We start from the raw sequence: 14032 nt of genomic DNA, 5'->3' as shown, positions 1-14032 counted from the left end.
AGAAGAGATTGTCTATATGTGGTACATACTCTCAAAATGTACATTTTAAGTTCCTGTTTTTTATTCTGAATATATAAAATAACATTGTGAATATTTTATATAGCAAACCTAGCACTGTAGATACAATGGATATCTGATGAGTAATATTTCTTTTGTATTTTTCTTCCACGTTGATTGCCACAAAGACACTCTAGAGAAAGCTACCATTAAGGCAGCATGGGATACTGACCCACGGATAGACAGTCAGGATGTTGCTGTGAGCAACATTCTTTGAAAATTGCAGACATGAATATTTTAATACTAATATGGAAAGAAGGGTGAAATTTATGGTGGCACTAGATTCTAAAATACACAATTCACATTTATATACACTGGATATTTTCCTATCTTCTGTGGAGTAAATTAGCGATTTATAGAGCATAGTGTCTCACACATACACATGTCCACACACATACACACTGGGAGGACATGTGTACCAGAAGCTTTGCTATAACTACATTCTAGGGACTCATACAGGGTGAGTTAATGAATTACTTTTGCAAACTAAAATTCTTTGATTACAGTTCACATGCTGAATTCTGCTCTATAGCAAATACTGTTTAAGGACCCTCCAGTGTATTTAGAGTACTTAATATAGCTGAATGATTGGTGAGAGTTGACACGGGAACATCTACTCTTAAAAACTTGCAAATCAATCTGTAGCACTTCCCTCAATGTCCATTTCACCCACCTTCTCCTTTAACTATTTTCTCTTCATGCTTTTTTTTTTTTAATCATTCTCCTCTTTTTAGCTTTAAAAACTAAAATTGTGCCAGGCGCGGTGGCTCACGCCTGTAATCCTAGCACTTTGGGAGGCCGAGGCAGGCGGATCACGAGGTCAGTAGATCGAGACCATCCTGGCTAACACGGTGAAACCCCGTCGCTACTGAAAATACAAAAAAATTAGCCGGGCGTGGTGGCGGGCGCCTGTAGTCCCAGCTACTTGGGAGGCTGAGGCAGGAGAATGGCGTGAACCTGGGAAGCGGAGCTTGCAGTGAGCCGAGATCGCGCCACTGCACTCCAGCCTGGGTGACAGAGCGAGACTCCGTCTCAAAAAAAAAAAAAAAAAAAAAAAAAAACTAAAATTGTGATTGATGGCACAATCAAGATTGAAGAATATTATTGCCATTTCTGTTACTTCCCTTCCCAAACTGCCCCATACTTTACCACACCAGTCTTGCTGTGTCCCCTTTCCCAACATCCATTCTTTTGTACATAAGACTTGATTTAAATTGTCCCAATTTTGAAGTCACATTATAAATAAAGTCTATCCTTTTACAGTAGTCTGCAATTTAAAGGAAGAGAAGAACCCTCAATATAAAACCTGTTTTGTGTGTGTGGAAATGGGGATAAATTCTTCCAAATTATTGGGCTGGAATAATCCCTGTAACCTCATCTGCAGTTTTCACTGATTGGGTAAGATGATTTCTGTCCTATTTAGCTCAGTTACAGGCAAATTTAGTTTCAGGAACTAAAATTTGTGAACATTGGAATATTTCAGGTACTAATATCTACATTTTATTATCTTATGATGAACAGTATGCTTACTTAAGGTGAATAGAATTGACTATGCCCTAAAAAAGGAGTAAATGGTTATCTTTAGGTAGTTTAATTCATTTTAGGCATCCAGTTTTTTCCCCTAAAATTCATGATTACTGTCCTATTTAAAAGTAAAATTCAAGATTTCTTTTTTTAAAAAAATGTCCACACACATCCATGGGAGAAAACATAAAGACAAACTCCACACAAAATATTTATAACTGGATGGACTGTTAAAGAATTTTCCCCAGTCCAATCCAAATCTCAAATTCCCCCGAAGCTTTCATAGCAATATGTAGTGTAATGTTTGAGTTAGCTTTCTGAGGCACTTACTGCTTGAAAACTTTTCCAGTTAGGATTTATACACTGATGTACCAAACTATTTCCCATTTTTAGAAACTTTATGAAAAATAAGAAGTAGAAGTGTGTTGATGTTATTGCTCTTTTTTAAGTTAAAGAGAAAATTCAGGTGCCATGGTAAGAGGCACTGCTGAGGTTTACAGTCAGTTTGCTGTGTGATATTTTTATTTTAAACAAATATGCAAACTATTGGTAAGTGAGCCAGAGCTTCTGAGTTTGATCCTAGAGCTGTCATTAATTTCCTCTGCTGTAATAAATATGTCATCTGAGCCCTGTCTGCCTTCATCTTATCAGTAATACCAGAATAAGACTGTTGTGCTTACCGACCTCAGAGGGATAACATAACAAGTATCGTAATTGAAGAAATATACATTTAAAATGTCTGGAAAATTACCTAGCTTTTTAAAAAAATATACTAGATAAATGTATTGTGTATATTCATTTTTTAAAAAGTTCTCTTGTGATTATCACAAAAGACAAGCCATGTATTTGTGAGCTAAAAATGAACTAAAACATTTTATTTTAGAATTTTTTGGTTTCCAATACAAAGTCTTAGGAAAGCAATTGGACTCCTACTCTGTTGAACAATCCTGATATTTGTGAGATTTTCATTGCATTAAAAAAATTGCTGCTGTCATTCTCAAATGACACCCTAAAATTGGAAGATTTTGTGCATGTATTGAAGAATGGAAGCTCTACTGGTTAAGAATCTATTTAAAGACAAAGCAAATAAATAATTTTAACAAAGTTAATATCAACAATAAGAAAGACAGCAGAAGACAGCACTTCAAGCCATTAATTGCATAAGGCGCCTCAAAATTCATTAGGCTATTCCACTCCCTCGTTACACGGTATTGGTCCTTTAGAAATCATCTTATCCAATATCATCTACAATAACTTCTCTTAGGGATTATAATAATTCAAGCCTTTTCTCCTGTGACATTCACTCCTTTGTAGCGTAGAGACAAAGTGAATTAATTCTTCCCACACAAAGAAAACATCACATTTTAGGGAACACAAGTTTAGTGTTTATATATAGTCATACAAAACACTCTTTGACTTGAAGTTTTTTTGTGTTTAAATAATTTCTTGCCTGGAACTAAACTCTATATTTTGTAAAACACTATTTTAATAAAATTTTTCTCAATTTAACTTGTGTAACTATGGATAAACCTGATGTCTTTGCAATTTTATATTGGTTTATTAACTACAGTGAACTGGACTTGAAAGCTCCTTTATATCTAAAGCAAAATAAACATAGCATGTTGATTAAGTTGGATAGGTTTTAAAGATTACTTGAATTTTCTCTAGCATAAATTATTATTTTGGGGATATTAAACATATATGTGAAATATACATATTTTATTAATATTTATGTTTCTTTATAACATAAAGTATTAATGACAAAGAAGTTACTGAAGGTAGGAACCTTGGCTTATTGACTCTTTTTAGCCTTAGCACCAGCTATTTTATGGTATTATTAAGCATCTGTAATACTTTTGTTGAATGAATGAATTATTCATTTTGGATTATGTGTATCAGTTAATATTGGAAGGTTTAAACTACATGCGAATGCAATATGGGTTCCATAAAATAGATAATTCAAAGGCCTAAAATATATTTAAAAATTCATATTCAGGAATAATTTTAACCTCTACAGAAATTAAACTTCTTCCAGAATAGAATGTAGTTGCTTTTTAGAGAATGGAAAAAAATACAACACATGGAGGGTCAGAAATTTTCAAATCTTAATCTCTAATTTGTTACGTGCTAACTCTGTCACCCAAGGCAAGACACTGAACCTCTCATTTTACTCAATTGTGGGATAATAATACTTACCTACATTACATGGCTATTGTGTTCATTAAGTGGACAATGATTGCAAAGCTCTCTGAAGATTGTAGAATACATCATAAATCCTAAGCCAAATTCTCCCATTCAATACCTTCTACTAGGTTATAGACACAGAGAATTCTAACTAACTATATTAGAAAAGTTTGTGAGGAGTAACTGATCATGAGACTTTGTGAGAATTTTTGGTGGACAGAATGTTGTTATGCAATTAAAAATTATTGCTTGGCATAGAGATCAGAGCTAATGTTTCTCAGTTGCAGAAACAAGCCATAGAACTTCTAACAATCAACAAATGGCTAACGAATCCGATTTGAGATTCGTTAGCTTACTCCTTTCTGTCCACCTGCTGAGGAAGCATCGTTCAAGTCTCTCTTCCTACTACTGTCATGTCTAGTCAGAGTCTTCGAAAGAGCCTGAAGAGCTGCAGAAACTTTTCATTGGATGGCTGGGCTTTGAAACAACTGATGAGAGCCTGAGGGACCATTTGAGCCATGGGGAATACTGAAGGACTATGTGGTAAGGAGAGATCCAAAGACCAAGTGCTCCAGGGGCTTTGGGTTTGTCACTTATGCCACTGTGGAGGAGGTGGATGCAGCCATGAATACAAGGCCACACAAGGTGGATGGAAGAGTTGTGGAACCAAAGAGAGCTGTCTCAAGAGAAGATTCTCAAAGACCAGGTGCCCGCTTAACTGTGAAAAAGATATTTGTTGGTGGCATTAAAGAAGACACTGAAGAACATCACCTAAGAAATTATTCTGAACAATATAGAAAAATTGAAGTGATTGAAATTACGACTGACAGAGGCAGTGTCAAGAAAAGGGGCTTTGCCTTTGTAACCTTTGATGACCATGACTCTGTGGATAAGATTGTCATTCAGAAATACCATTCTGTGAATGGCCACAACTATGAAGTTAGGAAAGCCCTGCCAAACAAGAGATGGCTAGTGTTTCATCCAGACAAAGAGGTCGAAATGGTTCTGGAAACTTTGGTGGTAGTCGTGGAGGTGTTTATGGTGGGAATGACAACTTTGGTTGTGGAGGAAACTTCAGTAGCTTTGGTGGCAGTGGGGATGGCTATAATGGATTTGGTGATGATGGAGGCAGTTTTGGAGGTGGTGGAAGCTACAATGATTTTGGCAATTATCACAATCAGTTTTCAAATTTTGGACCGATGAAGGGAAGAAACTTTGGAGCCAGTATCTCTGGCCCCTGTGTGGGTGGAGGCCAATACTTCGCCAAACCACGAAACCACGGTGGCTATGGCAGTTCCAGTAGCAGCAATAACTATGGAAGTGGCAGAAGATTTTAATTACTGCCAGGAAACACAGCTTAGTAGGAGAGGAGAGCCAGAGAAGCGACAGGGAAGCAATAGGTTACCACAGATTTGTGAACTCAGCCAAGCACAGTGGTGGCAGGGCCTAGCTGCTACAAAGAAGACATGTTTGAGACAATAGTCATGTGTATGGGCAAAAAACATAAGGACTGTTTTTGTGACTAATTGTATAACAGGTTATGTTAGTTTCTGTTCTGTGGAAAGTGTAAAGCGTTCCAACAAAGGGTTTTAATGTAGATATTTTTTGCACCCATGCTGTTGATGGCTAAATGTAATTATGATGCTAAATAAATATGTCTTTTTAAAAAATTTTTGATTTGAATATTGTGTTTAGTAGTTAAAAACTGATATATGTAGAATGAATTTAAAATACACTTAACAATTATATTCTTCAGATGACTGATAAATTAGAATTAGATTCTGTTGTGAGTTGCCAAACACCCCAAATCAGAGTATCTTAAATAAAGCATATTATTTATTCTCAGTGCCATGTGCCCCCCACCAAGAATTCTATTACTCTCAGAGGTATAGATATAGTGGTACAAGTTAGCAGTCCTATAGTGTCTTTATCAACATACACCTAGAGACAGTTAAAATACGTAGCCGTATCTTAAGATGTAAAGAGCTACAGGATGTCTACAAAAAGAAAGAAATTACAGATGAATTTTTTCAATACAGTGCTAAATATTTGTCACATGATAAATTAAGCAAAAAATCAATAATAAATTAAATAGTAAAAACTGGTTCATTTATTCTTACTGAATTGCTTTCCCAAAAAGAGCTAGATGGAGAGATCTTAGAGAGATGGATATAGAAGTCTAAGTCAGAAAATTGTTGAATGAGTAATTATAATTGAAATCCACTGGAGTGATTCTAATTGGATGGCTTAGTTGGCTAGCATATGATTTTCTCAAAGATAGGTAGATGTGCAATTCTTGTATCAGAGGACTGGCTTTGATATGTTCCATGGTTCTACATAGGATTCTAGGCTTTAGCAAACTGTCTTAGAAATAATTTGTTTATTGTGCTAATGAGATTAACTGATTAGAGATACTTGATGGAATAATGAAAAACTTATTAGTTCCACTGGGAAAACAGCTCAAAGCCTTATTGAAGTTAAATAAATCCATGACAAGAGGAAAATGTCTTATATTTATTGAGCGGCTACTGTGTGCCACACATGCCTGGTACCTCTTCATATGTTGCCCATTTATTTATGACAGTAGTCTTACGAGGTAGGTGTTATAACATCTACTTCATAGGAGTACTGTCATAAATAATTTATAATTTGTTCAATTAAACATTTGAAAGTATAAAAATTTTAAACTATCTGATTAAAATCTGACAGCATACCAAATCACATACCCAGAATTCATAGGTATGTGATATTTTGGACATCTACTGAGTATTGGACTCCTACTGAGTATTCCTTCTATTACCATGACATCCCAAAAGAGGTCCAGTGACGTAATTTCTATACTTGAAGACACCTCATAGATGTCAATGAATAGCACACATATTTTACAAATAAAATAAAAAATGTTAAAAGTCCATTATTATAATTATCCTCATAACATTTAACTAGTACAGTAGTTTAATAACAGTTCATTTCTTTTAACAAGTACATAATTATTCCAGTATTTGCTTTAGGCTTGTTTTAGAGTTGTTCTTTAAAGGTAAAATGAAAGGAGGTATTAAACATTTGTTAAATATCCACACTCAGTCACACATCAATCTGTGATATACAAATGTTTATCTTTAAAATTTAGAAATATTTGCTTGAAAAATATTTATACTCAGGTTTGGAGAAAGTGCCTCAAAGTAAACCCAATTGTGTTGTTAATGGGTGAGTAAATTGATACTACCTTTTAGAAGGGAAAATTAGCAATATTGAAAGAGTGTTAATAATTTCTCTCTTTTGAATCATGCCCTTTGCATTCGGTTCAAGGAATCTGCTATATGACAAATAATTGGAGAGTAGAATAGATTTATATACAAGGTTAGTCACTGAAGCATTATTTAAATTAGTAAATATTGTCAGAGTTACACATCCAAAAAATGATAAACAACTATCTAGACTATAATATAGCTATGTTGTGGAATATTGTTATATTGTTAACATTATATTTTAATATTATTTAATAACATGGTGAAATGCCACGCAGTGAATTGGAGAGCATGCCAAGGTCTTATCAATAATTTGGGGCATTATTTTTAATGCCAACAATTCATTAGGGTATTACACAAGAAGTATTATTCCCAGGTTATATCACCATACTTTCCCCAAAGGAAGAGGAATTAAGAAACAACTTTTTCTTCCTTTCAGTATAGCTGTATGTATCAAATTATAAGGATCTAAAATAATAGCCAAACCTAAAAATGGTTTGGCTATTACAACATTTTATTCTGTATATATTTAGTACTTTAAGAAAGACTGTGTCAAGAGTTTGACATTTTTTAAAATGTGGTTTCTAGTCTTTTGCAGTTGATATATTTTTAGATGAACTTGCTCAAATAATTTCATATTTCCTTGTGCCTCAGTTTCCACGGTACAAGACAAAGACATCAATGATAAACTACCTCCCAGGGATATTTCTGAGCATTAGCTAATGTTTGTAAAGCCTCCATAGAGAGTAGGGGATGAATAATGAAATAGAATCTCGATGTAGTGTTATCATTCTTGTCTTTCTCATTAGTCTCTGAGAGGCTTCATGCCAACTTTAAGCATTTCGGCTGCCAGAATGAAGGGTTTGTATTTTAATTTTGCCTGGAAAAGTGAGCGTTGCTTGAACATCTGGGGTTCACCCCGGCATAATTCCAATAATGCTTCTACAGAATCAGATATGTGAAGTATGATGGCCAGTACCACAAAGGAATTCATATCTAATTTTAGGCCTGCTGTTTCAATTTATAATTTAGCTTACATTTTAAACCTATTAGGAAAAGCAGAAGCTAAGTAACACGTTTGAGATTTATTTGAAGTTTTTATGCGAGAAATTTTTTTGCTTAAAATTGAATTACAATAAAACCATGTCTACAGGGAGTGGGCAAAAGGAATGGAGTTAGGATTTTGGCCAGCTTCTTTTACCATATTTTTCATGGCTAAAACACGCACACATGTATACATTTTTTTTAATCCACATTATTTCATTCACTCATTCAAAAATGTATTTTGGAGATTTTTATTATATGCCAAATGATGATGGGGATATAGCAAAGTACAAGCCAATGAAAATGCTAACCCATTGAGGGCACATTCTAGTAATGCCTATGAGATCCAAGGTTACTTGATCATATTTTTATGTAATCATTGTGTCAACCTGTCACTCAGTGCAAGTTTGATGAAAGATAAAGAAAGAATGAGTGACTCAAACATACCAAAGCTGTACAGACACAGCCAAGATGTTCATTTACAATAACCTCATTTCTGATGACTTAGTGGAACTGCGCTATAATGTGACAATCAAAATTAAATAAATGTTTGATTAATTTTAGAAATTAGTTTTATTTTTCCTTTTTATTAATTATAATACCTCTAATAATGAAATACATACAAAAAATATAAATATAAATTTATAATAGCTGATATTTTCTCAGGATATAGGAAATTAATTTTCATGAGTATGAACTAAGGAAGCTGAGAGGGAATAAAATAGAATGAAATCATATTAAATTGACTCAGGGAGCATAGGTAATGGTCTGAATGTCTGTGCCTCAAAGTGTTCTTCAGTGCAACCCACCTAGAAACTTTCCATAACAATGGAAATGCATGTATGTGTGTGTGTGTGTGTGCATGCACACACACGCACGTGTATCCTGTCCAAGATGGTAGCCACAAGCCATGTGTGGCTATTAAGCACTTGAAATATAGGTGGTACAAATGAACAATTGTATTTTTAATTTTACTTTGTTTTAATTACTTTAAATTTAATTAGCCATGGCTGCCATATTGGACAATCCAGCTACAGAAGGAAACATGATTAACAACTAAAAGAGCTGCTTTGCAAAAATTTCTATGTAACAGTCAAAACATGTGTATCATTGATTACGGTAGCAACAACTTTGGAAATGATGAATCATAGCCTGGTGGCTGGGAGCTGAGAAAGTGAACAGGTCTGTGATTAAAAGATCCTACCAGGGAATGAGACAGACCAGGGTTTAAATTCTAATTCCAAAACTTCTAGTTGTATGACCTTGGGCAAATTAACGTGCCCTAACTACATTGCGAAACAGGGATAATAATATTTATCATACCCATATCAAAGGTTGTCATGAGAATTAAATAAAGCAGGTGGAATAGCTGGCACTCTGTCACTGTAGCGTATGTGATTGCTATTATTACTATTATACTGTTATTATCCCATCTGAGGAGTCCTCAAATGATATGTGTATAAAGTGAAAAACATGATAATACGACTTGTTATTTGTTCTGATGTTCATTTAGTCTGGAATGTCCACTGCCCATTGCCCCTCTCCCTGGTAAAGTCTTATTATTTCATCAAGTCTTGATTAAGCAACTTACAATGAAGATTTACTGGAAAACAGTAGAGAAATAAGTAACCCCTCCAAGCAGGGAGATTGTAGGGTGCACACATGCTACTTTGTGGTACTTTATTCATGATTGTTGCCATGCTGTTTAGGACATACTATTCAGGATTTTTACATTGTAGATGGTTAGTTTCTGTTGGGGAAGGGCCCTGCATCATTTTTACTACTATTTTATAAATAAGAAAACTCAGGTTCAGAGAGCTCTTCATTCCGGAAGTGTTAAAACTTACTTTGGCTGTAATCACTAGCTTCTTGTGGATAGACTATAACCCAGAAATTTGGCGTTCCAGTTCTTGATGATGGAATGCTCCAGTGGTTCTAGGGTTGATGATGCCATAGACACTCTATGACGTCCAAGAGGAGCAGGTTAGGTAATATCAGATCTGCATGTTTAGCAGGTGCCATTGGGGCCTGTAGATGACATTGGCCACTGTACCCCACACAGTTTATACGCTAGGAGATTAGATGGCCAGAGTGAGTCAACTAGAGGAGATGATCATGAAACAAATTTAGGTGCTTGTGATCAGCATTTACAAATGAAATATATTAAAACAAATATGAGAGTTCATTACAAACCATAAAGATAGGCATTTTCCACAAAACTTTTCTCAACTATATAAACATAATGTGTATACATACGTGAGTCCGTACTAAGTCACGATGTGTAAAATACTTTCTATTTGGTTACATTAAAAAATGTTCGAAGGCCCACCTATAAGGGTATATTTTTAGGGACTGTGTGGTCAAAGGGAGAAATGCAGCTTCAGATAATAATGCTAAGAATCACATAGGTTGGTAGACAGCAGTGAAGGGCAGTAGAATATTGTATACTGCCTGGAGCTTCAAAGAGGCTAAAAGGATAACTTAGGAAACAAAACAAAATACAAAAGAAATAAATCATGTTTTAAAAGAGCCAGGAAAATAGAAAGGAGAAAATAAATAAAATATAATAATAAAGAGTAAGTAAGTTTCCAGTAAGGTCTTCACATTTTTACAGAATAGCTGAACTAAGAATTTTGCTGAGAAAATCTGTGAGTTTCTACAGAAGTAAATTTATTATTTTGCCTCCTAGTACCACTTCTTGTTTCTAAAACCATCACTTCCCACCTCCCAGTCATCACCTTTTTCTCCCACCTCACTTCTTCAAGGAACTGCTGCACGTATTTCACAAGGATCTCATTCCTACGAGAACTGCTATTATCCTATGTGACCTTCCCACAAGCCCTTGATTGATCCAGAGTTGGGTGTATGACTAAGCCAAGTGGAATTTTTTAATTGAAATCAAGAAAGAGTTTCTCTCCCGTGGTAGATTTCCTCAGATGTAAAAACAATATTTACAGACGTATTTGAGCAGCTGTTCTGTAGAGACAGAATGAATCTGACACTCAGAGAGAAGAAAAGATAGGTTAGATATAGAGCCCTGGTGGATTTAGAATCCTGTGCTCTGTTTGTTTTTGAGGTTCAGCCATGTCTTTATCCTTTCCAAGGTTTAGGTTTCCGACCTTTGTTGGATTCCAAAATCCAATAAATCTCTTGTTAAACCTAAAGTGTGAGATGAGGTACTGTTACTTGACTAATACAGTTATTGGAAGTACAACCACCAAGGACAGTTACATAAGGGAAGATGCAAGACATTGAAAAAGGGGAGCAAAGATCAGCACAGACTAAGATTACACAAAAAACCAGAATAACCTACAGAAACAACATGACTAGACTAATATCAATACTTGGTTGAGATAGATGGATGGTCAAAATGAGAGGTATATAAGAAGAGACACCTTTAAGTACTTGTGTTTACATATGTATAAAAATAACTATGTATATATGATACATATGGCTAAGTATTTAATAAACCTGTTGTTCATAATGCTCGTGGCTGAGAATGCTGTGTGTTTATCAAACTCTGTTCCCTTTTCTTTCAACTTCAGAACTTTTAACTACATTTCCTAGCCCTTCTTGCAGGTTGGAGTTGCCATGCCATCGAATTCTGACCTATGAAACGTACACATTGTGATGTGTGTGACCTACAAACCTTCCTCAAGTGATTTTCACTCTCTTTTCTAAAACGTTAACTGAGTATAAACAAATGTGATGATACAGGGAAGGGGAGACCACAATCTAAAAAGATCCCAGTGACTAAATTACCACATAGATGACTACCCAACCAGGATCACCAGCTTGGTTTAGGATATGAGCTAAAAATACTCCTATTATTACTCTACTGTCTCAGGAGAGAAGGGGTTATCTGTCCCAGAAGCCAGTGTTAGCTTAATGAATAAAGTGTTATTCAGTTGTTTTCAAATAATTAAATTATACATTATGGCTAATTAAACAATTGAACATTAGGATACCGTTAATGTAGCAATAGCTGAATTAGTACATCCTACTCACTAGCCAGAGTCTGACAACTGACAATGTATATGAATTTAAAACCATGTTTGCATCCCTTTTTCAGTTTGCTCAACCTCAGTGCACTAAAAACAGCAGCACTTATTCTCAAATGGCCACAGAAAAGCTTAAATTTGATATTTTTCCATATCTGTAAGAAACTTCTGAGTCTACTCCACATTTGTAACATGATTTCATTGATTCTCATACATCATGTTATTGGCAAATTAAGGTACCTAAGGGACAAATAGATTTTGATAGTCTCAACCATGTATGACTATGGGAGAGCTGCTGAGAATTTCAAGGTTATATTTAAACAGACACAAGCTTGTTCTAAGAGCTTTGTGCTTCTTATTGAAATTGCAGAGGTGATCTTTAAAGAATATAGGAATCTTAATGAATTTATAAATGAATCTATAAAATGTGTTATTTGATTTCTCTTTGTTGAAAAAAGCTATCTACTACTCTCAAATTTGTTTTACTCATTGTTATAGCTGAGCTTTAAGGCACTCTGCTAAAGAAAATGAGTAATTTAGGATGTATATTTGGACTCCCATATCTTTTATTGTAGAAATAAAATGTTGTAGAGGTTGAATAGAGATGGGAAAGCCATAATTTTCTTTCATCCTTAGACCACCAATCCTTGCATGAGAATTGATGTGAACCAAAACAATAAAGCTATTTGCTTTACTTTGTGTGTTTTATATAAAAGAAGGCTTTTCTATAAATTCAGGTAATTTTTTTCAATTTTCTTTAAGTTTAGTGACCAATCTTTGCTTCTTTATTGTTAATTGTCAACCCTAACCCCTAAATTAAACCAAATGCCCAAAGTGGACTTCATTTATGCTATCTCTGGGATTGTATCTTTCTTATCTATTAGGTTCCCTATATTATATTAAACTGGATCCCTGTAGTCTGCACATTTTCCTGTTTCTTCACACGGGGTAATACCAAATCATCTTCCCATTATACAAATAAAATATTTAACAGTCTTAACAATCTTAATTTTACGATTATTAATTCTTTCACTTGGGAAGTTGGTATTTTATAGGGGTTAAAAAATGTAAGTCCAAAGTCATATTGTCTGGGTTCAAACTAACCATGTCCTTTCTGTTAGGCTTCAGTTCCTGTAAAATAGTAATAATTCATATTTCATGATGATATTGTGAGGATAATACAAGCAAGTACATAGCATGTACTTGTGCTATGGTGTAGACATGGTTTGTTTGTTCTCACCAATCTCATGTTGAGATTTGAATGTGGGGCCTAATGGGGGGTGTTTGGTCGTGAGGGTAGAATAGGTTAATGAATAGCTTAATGCTTTCCCTCGGGAGTGTGTCGGTTCTCATGTTATATGCAAGATCTGATTGTTAAAAAGAGCATGGCACCTTCCCACCCCTACTTTTCTTCTCTCTTGCCACATGATCTCTGCAAAAATCAACTCCCTTTCACCTTCCACCGTGAGTGGATGTAGCCTGAGGCTCTCACAGATGCAGATGCCCAATCTTGAACTTTCCAACCCTCAGAATTGTAAGCCAAATAAACCTTTTTTTCCTGATAAATTACTCAAACTCTAGTATTTCTTTATAGCAACATTAAACAGATTAAGACAGTTTGGAATAGCACCTTTAGACAGCAGTGTTTGCTATTTGTTTTTTTGGTGTGTGTGCGTGGTTGTTACTCTTAATGTCACTAGGTATAATATCTTATATTGGGAAATGTGGGTACCAAAATGGATTAGACTGTAATCCCAGCTACTCGGGAGGCTGACACAAGAATTGCTTGAACCTAGGAGGAGGAGGTTTCAGTGAGCCAAGATCATGCCACTGTACTCCAGTACTCCAGCCTGGGCAACAGTGTGAGACTCTGTCTCAGAACGAAAACAATATATACACACATACATATATAGACAAACACATATACATATATATACACACATACACACACACAATGCTTTAAGAGTATAGAAA

At 35.0% G+C, this 14032-nt stretch overlaps 1 pseudogene; it reads left to right on the top strand.

The window, feature by feature from the left end:
* HNRNPA1P64 (heterogeneous nuclear ribonucleoprotein A1 pseudogene 64) lies at window positions 4109-5236 on the top strand (annotated as a pseudogene).
* Window positions 5237-14032: the final 8796 nt, after the last annotated feature.

Source organism: Homo sapiens, chromosome 1 (assembly GCF_000001405.40).
Source record: "Homo sapiens chromosome 1, GRCh38.p14 Primary Assembly".
In the NCBI taxonomy this organism is placed as follows: domain Eukaryota; kingdom Metazoa; phylum Chordata; class Mammalia; order Primates; family Hominidae; genus Homo; species Homo sapiens.
This window is presented reverse-complemented; position numbering and strand designations above follow the sequence as displayed.